This window comes from Homo sapiens, chromosome 10 (assembly GCF_000001405.40).
Source record: "Homo sapiens chromosome 10, GRCh38.p14 Primary Assembly".
In the NCBI taxonomy this organism is placed as follows: domain Eukaryota; kingdom Metazoa; phylum Chordata; class Mammalia; order Primates; family Hominidae; genus Homo; species Homo sapiens.
Genome location: NC_000010.11, coordinates 91,654,054 through 91,676,199, shown reverse-complemented (window position 1 = coordinate 91,676,199; position 22,146 = coordinate 91,654,054). Strand labels below are relative to the sequence as shown.

The 22,146-nt window shown below is 39.4% G+C and overlaps 1 pseudogene; it reads left to right on the top strand.

Moving 5' to 3' along the window:
• On the top strand, nt 8,348-9,619 carry GAPDHP28 (glyceraldehyde 3 phosphate dehydrogenase pseudogene 28; annotated as a pseudogene).

Sequence of the window (22,146 nt, the reverse complement as noted above, 5' to 3'; positions counted from 1 at the left end):
GTAAGGCATGCCCTTTTTACCTATGTGAAGTTGCTCAGAGCCTAATGTAGTATTGGTCTCTGCAGCAGCTGGAACAAGGGACAGGTGAGGCTGAGAGAATGTGAAGTGGCCTAAGGAGTATCTGACAATTCATTCAACAAGGTGTTATCACAGACTTGCTATTTGCCAGGTAAGGTGATAAGAAATGGTGATGCAGAAGTGACCAATACAACACAAGCTCCACACTCAGGGAACCCACTGTTTTTGGTTGTAAGCTTAAAAGTACACAAGTATTTAAAATAAGGTCTGTTAAAGTAAGTGCTCAATAGTTATTTGCTGTTATTAGTTTTATTTGTGGCACTGTTGGAAATGAGTAACAGAGCTCCAAGATATCTCTGTTGGTGACCTGCTCATAAGCCAGGGCACAAAATGATTCCATGATTCTTAAAATAATGTATATTTAATATATGCTTATCAGAAATTCAATAATAAGCACCATGTTTTACCCTAAATATGTCAATTTTTAATCCTTAGAGTGCTAAAATGGCAAAAAGAATAGAACACCTGAACAGATGCCAAAGGTCTCAAAAGGGAGTTGAGTTTTAGGAAACTGGCTGTAAGTCATGTGACCTTATTCCCCTAAAAATACCTTACAGAACGCAGCTGATTCTCACATTTGTACTGATTGGTTGAATTTTGCCAGGAGAAGGATGTGAATTCAAGTTTAAATTCAGAGCTTCTGTTGACTTAAAAAAAATAGGGTATGTGCCCCCTTCTATCTTCCTGTTGTATGGTGCAGAGTCTACCGATGGGAATACGCCTAGCAAAGAACTTCGTTTATGGAGTCATCTAGACCTGGATTCAAATTCTGGCTTCACATTTTCTAGCTATGTGATCTTGGACAGGTCACTTAATCTGTTTTAAATTTTCTTATTGATACACAAAGGTTGTTGCGAGGATTAAAGGAGATATGTACAGTACTTAACATAAGGCTACTTACTGATAGAGTTTGAGCTCCATAATAATCAGCTCTTATTAGTTTTATTTTGTGCTAACAATGCACAATACATCTGTTAGCTCCTTTCTTGGGAACTTCTGCTATATGTTCACAAGCCAGGATGAATGGTTGGGAATGTGAAATGGTTAAAGTTCAGCTGTAACAATTGGACAAACAATATTGACTTAAACATGGTAGAAATGTATTTCTCTTTTACTTTAAAGTCAGGAAGTAGGCTCTTCTTCATGAAATCCCCAGAAATTGGCACCTAGTCTACTGTGTAGCCTCCATTTCCCAGTCATCTCATGGTCCAATATGGTGGCTCTAATTCTAGCCATCAGATTTTCATTCCAGCCAATGGGAAGGAGGAAGGAGATTGAATAGGACAAAGAGTGATGCCAGCTATTTCTTTAAGAAGGTGCTGCATGAACTTCTGTTTACATCTCATTGACCAACATGTAGTTCCATGGTTTCACCTAGCTGCCAGGGAAAATGTATTATTCTGGGTAGCTGTCCAGCTAAAATTTTTATTACTATGGAAAAGAGGGAGAATGGACAGTAGGGGCCAATTATCAGACGGTCACAGAGAGCCATTTTCTGGGGCAGGGAGGCTTTTGGGAGTCTGATGGAGCTTAATGACACAGGGAAAAGTAATGATTAAAAGTAGTTGGTGTTTGATAAATTTGATCTTATCAAGAAAATATCATCCAGAATTACTCTAATACTATAAGGAGTTCATCCCTGCTTGCTGACCAGCAACCCCTCAATGTATCGTCCACTGCAATGGCACTGGCAACATGTGACAACAGAGCATTTGAAATGTGGCTGGTCCACATTGAGATGTGCTGTAAGTGTAACATACACACTAGATTTTGAAGACTTAGTATAAAAAGTGTAAAATAGCTCATTTAGCTTTATCATGCCTACATGTTGAAGTGATATATTGTCTGTATTGGATTAAATAAATTATATTATTAAAATTAATTTCACTTGCTTATTTTTACTTTTTATTTATTTTATTTTATTTTTGAGACAGGGTCTCGCTCTGTCACCCAGGCTGGAGTGCAGTGGTGCGACCTCAGCTCACTGCAACCTCCACCTCTTGGGCTCAAGCCATCCTACCACCTCAGCCTCCCAAGTAACTAGGACCACAGGTGTGCAACACCACGTCTGGCTAAATTTTTGTATTTTTTTTGTGGAGATGGGGTTTCGTCATGTTGCCCAGGCTGGTCTCGAACTCCTGGACTCAAGCGATCTGCCCACCTCAGCCTCCCAAAGTGCTGGAATTACAGACATGTGCCATTGCCCTGGCCTGTTTTTACTTTTTAATTTAAAATTATATATGTTGTTTGTGTTATATTTTTACTGGAAAGCACTGACTGTCCTAAGTCTAATAGAATCTGTGTCCTCAGAAAGCAGGTTCTATATAGTCCTGAGAGGGATCACTCTCTAAATGACTGATTAAATGGATGACAAATTCTCTAACATGGGATTCAAAGACCAAGATTTTGGTAACATACTTGGAAGTGCTGTCTGAGGGAGATGGTTCTGTGTTCCTTGCTCTTGATAGGCTTGTCCCCATCGGGGACAGATCTCAATGTCACCACACCCAAGAGCATCTGAGTGGACTCCACCTCGTGCTGTGGGTCTGGTTCAATGAACCATTCTAGGATTCCATTTTAGGATTACCTTCAGCATTTCTATGAATATTTTCCACATAGTGAGAAACTGGCTAATATTGCAAGTGATCTCCTGGGGAGGGGTGACATGTCTGAGCTTCAACTTAGAAAACTGGAATGTTAAGGAAATATATTTGCCAATCTAGTCTGTGTATTTTTATTTCTCTTCCTGTCAAGGATCCCTAATTGTCCAGGACGGTGATTCTAGCGGCAGCATCAGTATCACTAGGGAGCTTGTTAGAAACGCAAGTTCTCAGGCCCTATCCCAGACCTAATGGATCAGAAACTGTGGTGGGGCCCTGTGGCTCATGCCTGTAATCCTAGCACTTTGGAAGGCTGAGGAGGGAGGGGATCCCTCGAAGCTGGGAGTTTGAGATCAGCCTGGGTGACAAAGTGAGATGGCATCTCTACAAAAACTTAAGAAAAATCTCCAAAAAATTAAAAAAAAAAGTTGGCTGGATGTGGTGGCACATGCCTGTAGTCCCAGCTAATCAGGAGGCTAAGGTAGGAGGATCACTTGAGCACAGGAGGTCAAGGCTGCAGTGAGTTATGATCGAGCCAGCCCTGGATGTTTTAACAAGCCCTCCAAATGATTTGATTTAAGTTAGTTTGAGAACCATTAATTTAAAGCTATAGTTTTCTTGCCACATGTATCTTCACCCCCATAAGGCATATTCAGTATATTTTTAAGTTAAAGGGTCATCCTGTTTAATGCTGTATATTATGAGGAGATATACCATGAGAGGACAGCGTATGCAGGAATTGTTACTTCTAGGCTGTAAATAAATGTGATATTACATTTCTTGCTGGTTTCTAAGTCAGTAAAATTTGGTAAGAAAAATAGTTTTGAAAAAAATCTAAAAAAATAGAAGCAATGGAGGCTGTTTTTTGGGTTTTGAGTCTCCTTAGCCCACCTCACACAAACCTCACTGCTGAGTCCCACTCCTGGGTTTCCTGGAATTCCACCCTGGAAGCGGCCATGGCTGCGAGCAGCCAATCTGTCCATGCTCTACTTGCTAGCTCTGGTGGCCACTCCCTCTTCCCATCTGCTTACAGCCTCTGCTCCTCATCTCTCCACTTCCTGTCCTGATTCCTATCTCTGAGTGGCATTCTCTAAACTGTACTCAATTTCACTTTTAGTCATCGTGGGCAGTTTCCTGCTGCAGGGCCTTACCCATTCCTAATCTCTTAAGTCTGTCCTCAACTCCACAGATATTCAAACTTTGTTCTCCTTCCAAGGCACAGATTCTGTAACTCCGCTCTTGAAATTTGATATGTCATGACAGGTTCAGCCAGTAGCAGCAGCAGCAGCAGCAGGGGAAATGTCTGGCACCATCCATCACTAAACACTTGGGAACACAGATGGCAGGTGCAAACAATGGCCGATATCCCTGCTTGCTGACCAGCCACCCCTCAAGCCCACCCTGGGGGACTGACCTTTGCCCCAGAAACTCTTAGTGTTCTTGAGTTTCTTGAGCTGCTGATGGAAAGTGCTGCCTCCCCAGCCCTCCTGCCAGCAAGCCTTCTTGCCCTTTGGGACAGGGATTAGGTAGGATGGGTGGGGTAGGGATGGGATATTAGTGGATCTGAAAACGGATGCCATGGCTTTTCCAGCTCTTTCGTGACAGGCATCAACAATGTGTGCGGCATTTTAGAGTTTACAAACCACCTTCAGGTAGCATCATTTACAAAGCCTGTCAGCCACTCTAAGCGGGTAGCCAGGAGTTACCATCATCACTGTTTTACAGATGAGACAGTGGAGAACCGGAAGGTTGCCGTCTTTCCCCGAGGGGGCTCAAACAATAAAAGCAAAGTTGGGCTTGTATCCAGGTTTATGTCAACTTGACCTTTAGTTTACCAACTCCACCTTGCTAAGTGGATAAAATCTCACACTAATGAATTCCAAAGGGCCTCTCAACGGCTTTGTTCAGTGAAGATTTGACATAGTAAATGCATTTATGGCAATCACATTTGTATTCAGTTTACGAATAGCAGTCAAATCCATGACTTTAGGTAATCTCTACAATGACCTTATGTAGAAGCGTTTTTATTCTTGTTTTACACATGAGAAAACTCACACTCAGGAAGGATGAATAACTTGCTCAAGATTACACAGCTACTGAGTATCACAGATGAGTGTCAATTTTCCTCACAATAGAACCTCTATCCACTATGTACAGCTCCCCTCTGCTATGAATTCTAAACTGAAAAAAAAGGGAGATGAACATAGTGAGGCAGGTTTCCCAAACCTTTCTGTTTAGAAACATAGATGCTTGGGTTTCTCCCGTATCCTTCCACAAAGTCTCCCACGCTCTAGGAGTGGTAGCAGGTAACCCAAGTGATGCTTCTGATTGGCTGAGGCTGGGAGCTTCTGATTGGCTGAGGCTGGGAAACGCTGCTATAGGGGAAAGCTGCACGCAGAACACTGCAATTTAGTTTCCTCCAAACAACTCAAGTTTTTCATATGGAGTGCTTCCTTTGGATGGGTTTTTTGGGTAGGCCTTTGGGGAGGAAATCATCGGGAGGACTGTGACCATTAGATCTTTTCAGGCCTGTAATCCCAGCACTTTGGGAGGTGGAGGTAGGAGGACTGCTTGAGCCCAGGAATTTGAGACCAGCCTGGGCAACAGGGCAAGACCCTGTCTCTACAAATAATAATCATAAAAATAGCCGGATGTGGTGGTGCCCGTCTGTGATCCCAGCTACTCAGGAGGTTGAGGTGGGGGGATCATTTGAGCCCAGGAGTTTGAGGCTGCAGTGAGCTGGGTTCATGCCACTGCACTCTAGCCTGGATGACGAAGAAAGACTCTGTCTCAAAAATTTATTTTTAACTTTATTTTTAGAGATGAGGTCTCGCTCTCTCACCCAGGCTAGACTGGAACTCCTGGGCTCAAGTGATGCTCCTACCTTGGTCTTCCAGTTAGCTGGGGCTACAGGTGTGCTACCGCTCCTGAATCCTTTTCTTTATTCTTTATGCACAATTTCTTATTCATCAGATGTTTGGCTTCCCTGTATAGCAACATGACTCTACTGAAATTTCATCTGGTGAAACACTGACCTTGTTAAGATAATGTTAGATTCAAATTGCATCCTCTAAGGGCTAGCCACATCTTTCATCTTGCAAATTCCATGTAGTACCACGAGTTACAACTGTTCTGAAAACAGACATCACTTGTTAAATTGGTTATTAAATTTTTTTGTCAAGGATTCTCATTGTCAGAAGACTCTAGAATCTTCAACCAGCATCAGCATCATCTGAGAGCTTGTTAGAAAGGAAGCAGCTCAGGTGCTGCTTCAGGTGTCCTGAATGACAAACTGCATTTAACAAGATCCCCAGGTGATTCACATGCACCTTTAACATTTGGGAAGCAGTGTTTTAGAACACCTTTTCATTTGGTTACATACAGTTACAACTTGCTATCTCTCAAGGGAGGTTCTTAAAATTTGTTTTAATTTGAAATTCAGGGGGTTACATGTGCAGGTTATAAGGATATATTGCATGATGCGAGGTTTGGGCTTTCGATCCCATCACCCATAACGTGAACATAATGCCGAATAGGAAGTTTTTCAGTCCTTCTCCGACTTCCTCCCTCCCTCTCCCACTTTTGGAGTTCCTAGTGTCTATTGTTCCCATCTTTATGTCCCTGTGTACCCAATCTTTAGCTCCCACTTATCGGTGAGAACATGCATATTTGGTTTTCTGTTCTTGTGTTAATTCACTTAGGATAGGCCGGGTGCAGTGGCTCACGCCTATAATTCCAGCACTTTGGGAGGCAGAGGCAGGCAGATCTCTTGAGATCAGGAGTTCAAGACCAGGCTGCCCGACATGGTGAAAACCCGTCTCTACTAAAAATACAAAAATTAGCCAGGTGTGTTGGCGGGTGCCTGTAATCCCAGCTACTTGGGAGGCTGAGGCAGGAGAATCGTTTGAACCTGGGAGGCAGAGGTTGCAGTGAGCTGAGATCGTGCCATTGCACTCCAGCCTGGGCAATAAGAGTGAAACTCTGTCTCAAAAAACAAACAAAAAAATTCACATAGGATAATGGCCTCCAGTTATTATGGTTGTGTAGTATTCACAGCCACCATCGACAACCACTCTTCCGCCTTCAATGCTGGGGCTGTGAATGGTTTATGGTTTGTAGTATTCCATGGTGTATATGTAACACATTTTCTTTATCCAATTCACTGTTGATGGTCACCTAGATTGAGTCCATATCTTGCTATTGTGACTAGTGCTGCGAAAAACAAATGAGTACAGGTGTCTTTTTGGTAGAGCAATTTATTTTCTTTTGGGCATATACCCAGCAATGGGATTGCTGAGTAAAATGGTAATTCTACTTTTAGTTCTTTGAGAAATCTCCAAACTGCTTTCTACAGGGGCTGAGCTAATTTACATTCCCACCTACAGTGCAAAAGCATTCCCAGAGAGGTACTTTACATTTGTTTTATGTGGTCCTCACAACAACACTTCAGGGAAAGTATTATTATCCCCAATCCCCAAAGAGGAAACTGGTTTTGAGAGATTTAATCACTCGACCAATTAGTAGTTAATGGCTGAAATGGAATTAAAACTAGATCTGTCTACTCCTTAAAACATTTGCCTTAATACGTTTTCTTTCTTTTGTTTCTCAAGCCTCTTTATTAAGTCAGTTTCCAACCCCCGGCAATGTCTCCAGGTCTCTTTGAAGGTGGCATGGTAAAAAAGCAAACAATAAATAAGAAACAAAATTTTATATCAAAGTATTGTGAATAAAAATTGTAATTTGTTTGTGGGAATGTAAATTGGTACAACTATTATGGAAAACAGTATGGAGGTTCCTAAAGTAGTTAAAAATAGAACTACTGTATGATTCAGCAACCCCTCTACTGGGTATGTATCCAAGGGATATGAAATCAGTATGGTGAAGAGATATCTGCACTCCCGTGTTCATTGCAGTACTATTCACAATAGCCAAGATATGGAATCAACTTAAGTGCCCATCAATGGATTAATGGATAAAGAAAATGTAACATATGTAAACAATGGAATACCATTAGCCTTAAAAAAAAAAGGAAATCCTGTTTTTTTTTTTTTTTTCTGTGACAACTGGATGAACCTGGAGGACATTATGTTAAGTGAAATAAACCAGGCATAGAAAGACAAATGTTACATTTTCTCACTTACAGTGGAGTGTAAAAAAGGTGACTTAATAGAAGCAGAGAGTAAAATGGTAGAGGCAAAGGAAGGCGGATTGAGGAGATGTTGGTCATATGACACAAAATTTTAGTTAGGAGGAATGAATTCAAGAGATCTAAGTGCATCATGATGAAAAAAGTGTATTAAAATTAAAAATCTGAAACAAATATATTTTTTGTGTATGCATTTGTAACACATATGACAAAAATGCTAACAACCCTAATATATAAAGAGTGTTTATACACCAATAAAAGCACTTTCATAGAAAAGATAAAAGACCGATTAACATGAAGAGCCTCACTAGCAATCAAAAATATAAAGGAGAGATATCTTTTTCGTTCCCTAAATTGGCAAAGATTTAAAAGAAAAGATAAAACCCAATGTAGGTGAGAATGAGGGCAATAGATCCCCAAATTTTCTATTATTAAAAATGGTGTTTTAGAAGAATACTTAATGAAAAGGAAAGATGCTTGCCATATATTAGTAAGAAAGGCATGTAGAAAATGTATACAATTACTCTCTGCTCCTCCCGTAAGACAGACAGCTGCATCTTGTCATGCAGCACCAGCTGTATCCCTGAGACACCATGGTGAAGGTGAAGACCAAAGTAAATGGATTTGGCCATGTTGGGTGTCTGGTCACCAGGGCTGCTTTTAACTTTGGCAAAGTGGATACTGTCACCATCAATGACCCCTTCGTTGACTTCAACTACATGATCCACATGGTCCAGTATGATTCCACCCATGGCAAGTTCCATGGCACCATTAAAGCTGAGAATAGGAAGCTTGTCATCAATGGAAATCCCATTACCATCTTCTAAGAGCGAGATCCCACCAAAATCAAATGGTGTGATGCTGGTGCTGATTATGTTGTGTAGTCCACTGGCATCTTCAATACCATGAGAAGGCTGGAGATGTCTTAGAAGAGGGAGCCAAAAGGGTCATCATCTCTGCCCTTTCTGCTGACACCCCCTTGTTCATGATAGGCATGAATCATGAGAAGTACAAAAACAGCCTCAAGATCATCAGCAAAGCCTCCTGTACCACCAACTTCTTAGCCCCCCTGGCCAAGGTCATCCGTGACAACTTTGGCATCATAGAAGAACTTATAACCACAGTCCATGCCATCACTGCCACAGAAGACCCTGGATGGCTCCTCTGGGAAACTGTGGCATGATGGCCATGTGGCTCTCCAGGACATCATCCCTACATCTACTAGTGGTGCCAAGGCTGTGGGCCAGGTTACTCCCGAGCTGAATGGGAAGCTCATTGGCATGGCCTTCCATGTCTCCACTGCCAAATTGTTGGTCATGGACCTGACTTGCCATCTGGAGAAAGCTGCCAAATATGATGACATCAAGAAGGTGGTAAAGCAGGAATTGGAGGCCCCCTCATGGGCATCCTGGGCCACACGAGCACCAGGTTGTCTCCTCTGACTTTAACAGCAACTTCCACTCTTCTGCCTTCAATGCTGGGGCTGGCATTGCCCTCAACAATCACTTTGTCAACCTCATTTCCTGGTATGACAATGAATTTGGCTACAGCAACAGGGTGGTGGACCTCATGGCCCACAAAGCCTCCAAGGAGTAAGACCCCAGACCACCAGCCGCAGTGAGAGCATGAGAGGAAGAGAGAGGCCCTCAGCTGCTAGGGAGTCCCTGCCACACTCAGTTCCCCACCACACTGAGAATCTCCCCTCCCCACAATTTCCACACAGACCTCCCTGAAGAAGGAGGGGCCTGGGAAGCCCACTTTGTCATGTACTATCAATAAAGTTCCCTGTACTCAAAAAATTAATTAACTGATTAATCAAAATGTATTGAATACTAACATTATGCTAAGGAGAGTCAATTCCTGCTTGTTTTTAAAAATATAATTCTTCATCATTCAACTTGAAATTACTGCCCTTGAAGAGCTAAACTCAAATAGGAGAAACTGGCATTTTCCTCCTCAATATTTTAATATGAAAAATTTCAAACATACAGAAGAGTTAAAAGAATTTATACACCACCTAAATTCTACAATTAACATGTTGCCACATTTACTTTATCACATATCCACCCTCTATCTCTCCATCAAGCCACTTTTTTTTTTTACTTTGCAGAATTTCCAAGTAAGTTGCAACTATCTGTATACCTCACCCCTAAATGCTTCAGTATGAATATCATTAACATGAGTTCAATCTTTGTTTATGGTTCTTTTAAATTTTTGGGTTAGTTGTCATATAGTGAAATGCACAAATATTAAATGTGTCATTGGAGGGATTTTTGTTGTTGTTAGAGATGTGATCTCACTATGTTGGCCAGGCTGGACTCTGACTCCTAAGCTCAAGGAGATCCTCCTGCCTCATCCTCCCAAGTAGCTGTGACTATTTGGCACCATGCCAGGCTTTGGAGGAATTTTAACAAATGTAGACATCAGTGTAATCTAAATTTCTATCAAGACATAGAACATTATGAAACATTATGAGAACTTCTCTCTTCTTCCTTCCCAGTTAATCCCTGTCCATCTGCCCCTCTACCCAGAGGTAGCTTACCACTGTTGACTTTTTAAAGAGATACATAAATTATTTTTGGCTGTTCTAGAACTTAAAACAAGTGGAATGATACAATTACAATATGTGCTTCTAAATATAAGGCTTTGTTAATTTAACATAATGTTTTTGAGATTCATCTATGTTATTTTGTGTATCATTAGTGAATTCTTTTTTATTGCTGGGTAGTCTTCTGTTGTGCAAGTACACTATAGGTTGTTCATCCATTTTCCTGTTGACAATACTTAGTCTGTTTCCAGTTTTGGAACATTTTGAATAAGGCTATATGTATATTATTTTCTTTTTGTGGGCACAGGCTTTCATTTTTCTTGGGTAAACATTTAGGAGTGAAATTGCTGAATCATAAGGTAGGGGCTACATTTAATTTTAAATGAAACTGCCAGACTATTTCCCAAAGTTATTGTGCCATTTTATACTCCCAACAAGATAAGAGACTTCCAGTAGCTCCCTATCTTCATCAACATTTGGTATTTTTGGTCTTTTTACTTTTAGCCATTCTAATGGGTGTCTTTTAGTATCCCACTGTGATTTTATTTTGCATTTCTCTGTTGACTTAATGTTGAATGCTTTTTTATGTGCTTATCAGTCATTTGTATATCTTTGTGAAATGTCCATTCAAAACCTTTTGCCTAATTAAAAAATTAGATTATTTTTATTATTGAGATGTAAGTTGTATTACTGAGATGTAAATGTAAGTAAGTGCTTTTGTCTGATATGTCTTGTCAATATGAGAAATTGATTTTAAGGTAGTGAAAAAGATTTCAGGTAATGTGGGAGAGGAGAATATTGCTTAGAAAATCAGCTTTTCCCTGAAGCTTAGGGAAAAGTGATTTCTACAGAAATCACTGCTGAACTTTGCTTTTACCTAATCAGTTAGTCTTTGTTTCCCAAATTGGTTTGTTACCTCTAATTTGGAGATAAATAGTAGTTTTTCTTTGATATCGAACATGCCATTAAACCTGGATTGTTGGTTGTCCACCTGACTGATTCATTCAGTTTGCGGTCTCTCTTCTGGCCACTATAGTAGTGTCTGCCTGATCTCTTCATTTGCCTCTAAATATCCCTCACAGTCTACTTTCCATATAGCAACTATCATGCCACATTTTAAAAAATGCTCAAAATTCCCCAGTGGCCTTCCATAGCTCTGAGTTTATTTCCCATCCTCTTTGGCTAACTCACTGACTTACTCAGCTTGCCGTCTTTGGAAATTCCAAGCATGCCCCTGTCCCAGGGTCTTTGCTGTTAGTCCAAACTGCATCATTTTGTAAGCTTCCCACTATTTTGCAGACCTTGGTCAAAGTGAAACATTTCACAGGGGTTTGGGCCTTGAGAAACATCATGCCTAACCACCTGACCACAAGGCAGACAAAGGCCCAAATCCCAGGCCAGGTGTGGTGGCTCACGCCTATAATCCCAGTACTTTTAGAGGCCAAGATGGGCGGATCACCTGAGGTCAGGAGTTCAAGACCAGCCTGGCCAACATGGCGAAACCCCATCTCTACTAAAAATACAAAAATTAGCCAGATGTGGTGGTGGGCGCCTATAATCCCAGCTACATGGGAGGCTGAGGCAGGAGAATCACTTGAACCCGGGAGGTGGAGGTTGCAGTGAGCTGAAATCATGCCATTGTACTCCAGCCTGGGTGACAAGAGCGAAACTCTGTCAAAAAAAAAAAAAAAAAGAAAGAAAGAAAGAAAGAAAGAAAGAAAGAAACATCCCAATCATAGCTTGCTGGACAAAGGTCCAAGGAATATCACGATGACATCCCACCTGAACAAGGGCCAGAACCACCTCATCACGAGAACATCTTATCAGTATCCTGCCAGGAAGCAAGCCCTACTGCCCAGACCCCTCCCTACTCATACCTATAAATTGTCCCAGCTTGTAAGCAGCAATGGGCTCTGGCATTAGGCTGGTCCCCCACTTCTGTAGGTTTTATGCTGGACGTAAAGTCTGAATTTGCTGTTGAGCTGCCCTCTTACTGTGTGCGTGTCTTTCTTTAACCCTCGCCTTCCCTTCAAAACCTAACATTTGCACTAGCTTTTCCTCCACAGCATGCGTCTAATCCCATATACAAATGTATTTCCATGGCACACCCCTCACTTCATTCAGCTATCTTCAAATATTACCTCTTTGGAGAGATCTTCACTAACTACTCATAAACTAGCAAAGAGAAACGTTCTTCCAAAGTCTTTTTATCTCCTTACTCTACTTTACTTTTTTCATAGCACTCATTTCCATCTTTACCTGAATATTATCATTGAAAAATTATATTTGTTTATCCCCCCACCCTACTAGAATATAAGCTCCTTGAGGACAGGGACTTTGTTCACTTTATTCTTCACTCTGTCTTCAGAATCTAGAATTGTGACTGACACATAGTAGATACTCTACATAAATAGTTGTTGAATGAATAAGAAAAAAACTAGATCTGAATATCATTCAAACCAAGAATTCCATAACTTAGGGTATGGTGGGTGGCTTTGGAAATCCAGCATTGAAGACAATGAGGTGCTATTAGACAACGCACTTCTACCTGAAGGAAGCCCCAAACTTAGTTGCCAAGCAACCACTATTAGCATATAAACAAATATTAAAGCACACATCATAAATAAAATAGCTAACAAGGCAGTTTTTCTATACCCAACCAGGCATTTTCTTGTTATTGTTCAATATACTTGAGTCAAAAAGAGAGATGCAACTAGTTATTTCTTGCTATAAAAGAAAAAAAGGCCACAAGTTGTTTATTGCCAAGAAGAATAACTCAATTGCAATTTAGTATTTGGAAAGTGTCCATCTAAGCAAGCCAGAATTTTCATTGATTTTTCTTTTCTTTTTTAGTTTTTCTTTTAATTAAAGACTATTTTTCAGAACTGGTTTAGGTTTACAGAAAGTACAGAGAGTTCCCATATACCCCATTCCACTTTCAGTTCCCCCTATTATCAACATCTTGCATTGGTGTGGTACATTTGTTACAAATGAAAATCAATAGAGATATGTTATTATTAACTAAAATCCATAGTTTACATTAGGATTTGCTCTGTGTGATGTACAGTTCTATGGGTTTTACTAAGTGACAATGTAATTCACTGCCCTAAAAATCTGCTGTGCTCTAACTCCCTTTCCTTCTGTACACCCCTGGCAACCACTGATCTTTTTATCACCTCTATACTGTAGTTTGGTTTTCATTTTACTAATTAAAAAAGTGGTCCTCGTAAATGGGAGAGGAGTTGAAGAGAAGTAAATGACAAAAAACTGAAGGCGTTCTGTCCATGTAATTCTCCATTGTATCTTCTGTATCTAGAATAGTGACTCAGGGATAACTCAATATAACCTGTTTACATTTTAACGTATATCCTTACATATGTGATTACATATATGTATATATATACACACACACATATATGATCATATATATTCTTATATGAGGGGTCTTTAAAAAATCATGGAAAATGTATATTATGAAAAAACCATGGATGCATTTCAAAATGTTTTTGCACTAAAATAAAATCACAGTAAATTGTTGCAGTATGTCTGAACAGCATCTAGCTTGAGGCATTAAGAAGGATAAGACATTAATTTGAAATGACTCCCTATCAGAACAGATGATTTCTACAAAAATTGAAGCAAGAACAAACGCCAAATTTATAGTGAAGCTTGGGTGGAAAAATGGTGAAATTACTGATGCTTTATGAAAAATTAATGGGAACAATGCCCAAAACAAATTATTAGTTTACAAATGGATAATTCATTTTAAGAAGGAATGAGACTGTTGAAGTCACGTGAAGCCCACGTGACTGACCATCCATATCAATTTGTGAGAAAAAGATTAATATTGTTCATGCAGTAATTGAAGAGGACTGATGATTAACACCAGAAAATAGCCAATACCATAGGCATTTCAACTGGTTCAGCTTAAACACTTCTGACTCAAGAATTAAAGTTGGGCAAACTTCCGCTCAATGGTGCCAAAACCACTGTCCCCAGATCAGCTGCAGACAAGAACAGACCTTTCAATGGAAATTTTAAACAAGTGGGATCAAGATCCCGACGCATTTCTTCAAAGAATTGTAACAGGAGATGAAATATGGCTTTACCAGTATGATCCTGAAGACAAAGCACAATTGAAACAATGGCTACCAAGAGGTGGAAGTTGTCCAGTCAAAGCACAAGTGGATCAGTCAAGAGCATAGGTCATGGCAGAAGTTTTTTGGGATACTCAAGGCATTTTTCTTGTTGACTTTCTGGAGGGCCAAAGAATGATAACATTTGCTTATTATGAGATTGTTCTGAGAAAGCCAAAGACTTGGCAGAAAAACACCTGGAAAGGTTTCACCGGAGAGTCTTTCTCCACCATGACAATGCTCTTGCTCATTTCTCTCATCAAACAAGGGCAATTTTTTGGGAGTTTTTGTGGGAAATCATTAGGCATCCACCTTACAGTACTGATTTGACTCCTTCTGACTTATTTATGTTTTCTAATCTTGGAAAGATCTTTAAAGGGCACCCACTTTTCTTCAGTTAATTATTTAAAAAAAAAAACACATTGACATTGTTAAATTCCCAGTTCTTTAAGGATGGACTATATGGCTGGTATCATTGCTTATAGAGTATCTTAACCTTGATGGAGCTTATGTTCAGAAATACAGTTTATATTTTCTATTTTTATCTTTTAATTTCATTTTCCACTAACATTTTCTTTTCTTTTCTTTTTTAAGAGACAGGGTCTCACTATGTTGCCCAGGCTGGTCTCAAATGATCCACCCACCTCTGCCTCTCCAGTAGCTGGGATTACAGGTACACACCACTGCACCCAGATTCCGTGAACTTTTTGGAGTCCCCTCATGCATACAGTCTAATATGTATGAAAAGATAATCCACTTATACCAAGATTTTTAAAATGTTAAATATATTTTGGACATCCTGCTAGGCACTTCATACATACCGTTTTCAAATCTTCACCCTGTCCCCTAAACCCTGTCAAAACTGAGAAATTACAGTTAAGCTCAAGGTACTTTTTAACTTCCTGTTGGAATTTATAATCTAATAATAACAACAATAATAATGGACATTTGTAGTTTGCAAAAAAATTCTCACATAAATGATCTTATGCTCACACCAATCTTTTGAATTATTATTTGCCAGGCATGGTGGCTCATGCCTGTAATTCCAGCACTTTGGGAGGCTGAGGCAGGTGGATCATTTGAGCCCAGGAGTTTGAGACCAGCCTGGCTAACATGGCAAAATTCCATCTCTACAAAAAATACAAAAATTAGCCAGGCATGGTGGAATGCACCTGTGGTCCCAGCTACATGAGAGGCTGAGGTGGGAAGATTGCTTGAGCCTGGAGGCAGAAGTTGTTGTGAGCTGAGATCATGCCACTGTACTCCAGGTTGGGTGACAGAATGAGACTCTGTCTCAAATAAAATAAAATAAAATAAAAAATGGAATAATTTTTAACTTTATTTCGCTGTGAGCTTAAGTGGCTTGTCCTGGAAACAGATCCAGTTTTAAGTTTTCTGTCGCCAAATCCTGCACCCTTGCATTATTGATTAACACAGCTTGTGGCAAACCAAAACTTTTTTTCCCCCTTGTCTCAATGTTTAACCATGTCAACTGCATTTTAAACTTGTGCAGTTGTTTAAGTTCAGTAATGTGCATACTTTTCTTTCAATGAACATTCAAAAATATTTACTTAGCAGCTATGATTCTCCTGGGAGCTTTGTTTACATTGATAAATAAGACATATTTTGTCTTTGCTCTTGTGGGGCCTAAAGTCTGTTCAGTTTACATTCATTTGGTTGTCTAAGTTACAGTGGTGAAGGCTTTTTTGAGTTCCTTTTCACCATTAAGCTATTAGATTCACTTTTGTACCATTTGCACATTTGGAAAACATATTTTATGTTTTCATGGAAGTCTTGGATCTTTATGTCAAGTCCTTTATTTTCTTTCTTGATGGATTTAAAGAAGAAAGCTAAAGATGGAGTTCTGTTTGGGCAAGGTTGCTCAACAAGTTTTGTAGCTGCCTAACATTTCTTTGTCTTGTTCATAAGGATATCATGAAAGACTTTATCAAATGATATTCCAAACATGTAGGTCACTGTAGACATCAGGAAAAACTGTCACATGTCAGTTTTTCCTGATGTCTAGTGGTTAAATGCAGGGATTCTGGAGCCCAGATCCAAATCATGGCCCTACCAGCTATTAGCTGTATGATCTCTGGCATGTTACTTGATTTCTCTGTGCCTCAGTTTTCTATGTTTATAAATATATTTATACATTTGAAGTTTATTAATTAATTGTAAATTGATAAATCTCAGTAAATCTGAAAGTCTAAACAAAATAGATGATTTTCTAGGAAAATATAAATGAGTAAAATTGGTACAGGAAGATATATAAAAAACTCAGATACACCAAAAATGACAGAAGAAATGCAAAAGATTGTTAAAATTTTCTTTTTAAGGAAACAAAAACCTACTTAAATTGTTTACAATGGAATTCCATCTAATCTTCAAGGAAGAGTTAATTTCTGTGTTAGTCAAATTATTTCAGACTCTGAAAAGGTATGGAAAGTTCCTCAATTAATAATATGAAACAAGCATAACTTTAATATTAAAACCTAATATATATATATCACAAAATGCTTCTGTAGTTCACCTTATGACTAAACATGAAAAAATTTTATGTAAAACTGTAGCAAGTCCATTTGAAAAATAAAAACAAAGTTGGAAGACTTTCGTACTACATGATTTCAGACTTAACTGTGAAGTCATGGTAATCAAGAATGTGTTATAATGAGGCCTGGCGCAGTGGCTCATGCCCGTAATCCCAGCACTTTGGGAGGCCGGGTGGATCACCTGAGGTTAGGAGTTCAAGACCAGCCTGGCCAACATGGTGAAACCCAGTCTCTACTAAAATACAAAAATTAGCTGGACGTGGTGGTGCATGCCTGTAGTCCCAGCTACTCAGGAGGCTGAGGCAGGGAGAATTGCTTGAACCCAGGAGGTGGAGGTTGCAGTGAGCCAAGATCGTGCTACTGCGCTCTAGTCTGGGCAACAGGGCAAGACTCCATCTCAAAAGAAAAAAAAATGAAGAACACGTTATAATGGCAAAAGGATAGTTTTATAGAACATAGAATAGAATAGAGACTCCAGAAATAGACCCACACATACTTATGTACAATTGAATATTGACAAATATGCAAAGGAAATTCAATGGAGAAAGGGTCATCTTTAAAAAAATGGTGCTGGAATAATTGAAACTCCATATGTAAAAACAAGGACAAAAGAGTAACAAGAACAACAATAACATCTTAACCCTTACTTCACATCTACGAAGATACTAAATCAAAATAGATTATAGACAGAAATGTGAGAGCTAAAGCTATAAAACTTCTAGGAGAAAATATAGGAGAAAATCTTTGTGGTCTTGGGTTAAGCATTTGAAAGACATTAAGTAAATAAAAAAAGGAAAGCACAGACTAAGAGAAAATATTGGTAAAAAATCTGTTTAACAAAGGACCTATATCCTGAATATATAAACAACTTTTGCAGCTCAATAATAAGTCAAACAACCTATTGACGACATAAAATGCTGGTGACGAGTTGGAGCAACTGGAACTCTTATACCTTGCTTGTGAGAATGCAAAATAGTATAGATACTTTGGAAAAGTCTGTCAGTTTCTATAGTGCTGAACTTATCAGATGCCCCAGCAATCTAACACTTAGGTATTTACCTAAGGAAATGAAAGCATTTGTCCACAAAAAGACTTATACCTAAATTTGTACAGCAGACGGATTTCTAATTGTTTTTAAAAACTGGAAACAAAAAGTCCAAAAGTTTACCCACTAGTGAATGGATGAACAAATGGATGAACTCATACAATACTATTCAACAGTAAAAAAGGAAAAAAACTCTTGATATATGCAACAACATGGATGAATTGCAAAAGCATTATGTAGAGTGATAAAAGCCATTTGTAAAAGCCTACATATTGTATGACTTTATTTAGAGTATGACATTCTGGAAAAGGTGAACCTATAAGAACAGAACTCAGACAAATAATTTCCAAGGATTTGAGGTAGGACAGAAAATTGACTGTGAAAGGGTATGAGGAAACATTTTGGTGTGATGGAAATGTTTATATCTTTATTGTGGTGGTGGTTATATGACTGAATATACTTGTCAAAACTCATCAAACTATATACTTTAGAAGTATGATTTTTACTACCTATAAATTATTCCTCAATAAACTGGACTCACAAAATTTAGTAGTTCTAGTAGTCTTGTTGAAAGAATGATAGACCCCAACTAAGTGTATTTTAGGAGTGCCAGAAAGGTTTGCCATTAGGAAGTCCAACAATATAATTCCCTACAGCAACAAATTAAGGGGAAAAATGATGTAATCAATAAATGTCAGAAAAGGGCTTGATACAATCAGCAAAAATGTTAATTAAAATATTAAATATACAAAAGAAACTCTTACAAAAATATACCAGGAAACATATACAAAAATAATCACAACAAAAAACTGGAAACAACCCAAATGCCCATCAACAGGAGAATGGGTAAGTAGCTTGTGGTTTCACACAACGTACTATTACATGGCAGTCAAAAGAATAGCTCACAGCTACATATGAAGATATGGATGAATCCTGGCAATAGAATATAGAGTGAAAAACAGAAGTCCTCAAGGGTTACCTGTAGCACAATACTGTTTTTATAAAATTAGGAACAACTAGAGGACTTCTGTTTCTGGCCATCAAGGTGTTACTTACCTACCTTAAACTGGACAAAATATCAATTGTCTTTAGACATTGGCAACAGGCATCACAGGACTGTGATCCCTTAGAGAAGGGAAACAAATGAGGCTAACCCTATAATTGTCCTGGTTTTCTGCCTGGAGGCACGTTCTGGATCACAAAGCAAAAAGAGGAATCCCAGGCAGAACATGGTAGACTCACTGAGTTGAGACAGAGACTGAAGTTCAAGTAGTCTAAAGCGACTGGAAATTGTAGGGCAGAGTTCTGGAGAGGAGGAAGCTATGTAGAAAAAGCCCTCCAGAAATCTGCGTGGCGCTCCCTGAGTCTTTGCTGAACACTAAGCCTTAAATGTGTACAGTGAAACTCTATGAGGTATGGGCAAAGAGCTGAAAAGTTTCTAGAGCTCACATAGGACTGGGATCACTGAGTTCCCATAGGCCAGGGTTGAGAGTTCTTGTTGATCATTTGGAGCATTCACTAGAGACCCTAGAATGGCCATAGCTTTTTTTTTTTTTTTTTTTTGAGACAGAGTCTCACTCTGTTAACCAGGCTGGAGTGCAGTGGCCCCGTGGTCACAGCTCACTTTATCCTTGACCTCCCAGGCTCAAGTGATTCTCCTACTTCAGCCTCCTAAATAGTTGGGACTACAGTCATACACCGCCATGCCCGGATAATTTTTAAATTTTTTGTAGAGATGGAGTCTTCTTATGTTAACCAGGCTGGTCTTGAACTTCTCAGCTCAAGCAATTCTCCTGCCTGCCTCAGGCTCCTAAAGTGCTGGGATTACAGGCATGATCTACCTTGCCTGGCCACCATAGCTTATTAATGGGCTAAATTATCCATAGAGTGAAGGCTACTATAGACATGCTCTAACAAATCTGGCAAACAATTGCATTGAACCTCAAATAAATTTTCTTTCTTTCTTTTTTTTTTTTTTTTTTTGAGACGGAGTTTCGCTCTGTCTCCCAGGCTGGAGTGCAGTGGCACGATCTCGGCTCACTGCAAGCTCTGCCTCCCAGGTTCATGCCATTCTCCTGCCTCAGCCTCCTGAGTAGCTGGGACTACAGGCGCCCGCCACCACGCCCAGCTAATTTTTTTTTTGTATTTTTAGTAGAGATGGGGTTTCACCGTGTTAGCCAGGATGGTCTTGATCTCCTGAACTTGTGATCCACCCGCCTCCCAAAGTGCTAGGATTACAGGCATGAGTCACCGCCCCTGGCCAACCCCAAGTAAATTTTCTACTTACCAGAACAATGCCAAACACTCTTTAAGGGAAGACAGTATAATTTAGTAACTCAACAACTTAAAATTATAATGTCCAACATCCAATAAAAAATTGTTGGCCGGGCGTGGTGGCTCACGCCTGTAATCCCAACACTTTGGGAGGCTGAGGCGAGTGGATCATGAGGTCAGGAGATCGAGACCATACTGGCTAATATGGTGAAACCCCGTCTCTACTAAAAATACAAAAAATTAGCCGGGTGTGGCGGCGGGCACCTGTAGTCCCAGCTACTCGGGAGGCTGAGGCAGGAGAATGGCATGAACCCAGGAGGCGGATCTTTCAGTGAGCCGAGATCGTGCCACTGCACTCCAGCCTGGGCGACAGAGCCAGACTCCGTCTCAAAAAAAAAAAAAAAAAAATGTTAGACATGCCAAGAAGGAAAATAAGACTCATAACCACGAAAAAAATCAGTCAATAGAAACAGACTCAGAGATGATAGGGATGATGCAATTAGGAGACAAGAATGCTAAAACAACTAATATAACTATGTTCAAGTATTAAAGAAAAACGTGAATGCAGCAAGGAGAGAAATGGAAGATACAAAAAAGAGCCAAATGGAATTTCTTGATATTTGAAATTTAAAAATTACTAGATGGGATTAACAGCAAGTTTGACACCGCAGAAGAAAAGATAACAATGCATTATAGGCTTTATAATATTTCTAGAAGTAAAATGTGCAACAACAATAGCATAAAGGATACGAGAGTGAAATATACATATACTGTTAAAACATTATATTTTTTACACTATAAATTGGCATAATACTATTTGAAAGTGTACTGCAATAAGGGAAAGAAGCACAATGTAAACCCTAGAGCAATTCCTAAAAAAAAAAAAAAAAAACCACCAAAAAGCATGGGAAATAAGCATTTAGTTGAGATAAAATTCTTTAAAAATACTCAATTGACTTTAAGGTAGGCAAGGAAAGATGCGAAAAGGAATAAATATGCTAGACGCAGTGGCTCATGTCTGTAATCCCAGCGATTTAGGAGGCTCAGGCAGGAGGATCACTGGAGCCCAGGAGTTCAAGGTTGCAGCAGTGAGCTATGATCACGCCACTCTAGCCTAGGCAACAGAGTGAAACTCCATCTCAAACAAACAAACAAAAAAAGGAATAAATAACAGATGCAACAAATAAAAAACAAATCTCAAATGGCAGATTTAATTCCTACCACACTAGTAATTATATTAATAAAAATGATCTAAACACTCCAATTAAAAGGAAGATTTTTGTCAGACATGATTTAAAATAAAACCAAGCCATACCCAAATGTATACTTCTGCAAATAGCCCACTTTAAATATAAAGACACAGGTTAAAAGCAAAAAGATGAAAAAAGATATACCATGAAAAGATGAATCTTGAAAAAGCTTGTCTGATATATCAATATCAGTCAAAGTAGACTTTAGACGAGAGACATGGTATCTACGAAAACATAGCCAACTGCATACCTAATGTAATACAGGTAAAAACAGTCCCTGCTTTTGTGTCTGTAGGTACAAGTAAAGGCACCTATTTTTGCTTCTCAACTGCTTTGGTGATGCCCTATCCTTTTTCTAGAAGCATGGGGAGTGCTATGCTTTGAATGTGTCCCCTCCAAACTTTGGGTGTTGAAACGTAATGGCCAAAGTGTGAGGATTAAGAGGTGGGGCCTTTAAGAGGTCATTAGGCCATGAGGTCTCCTTCTTCACCAGTGCAATTAAGGCCCTCATAAAAGA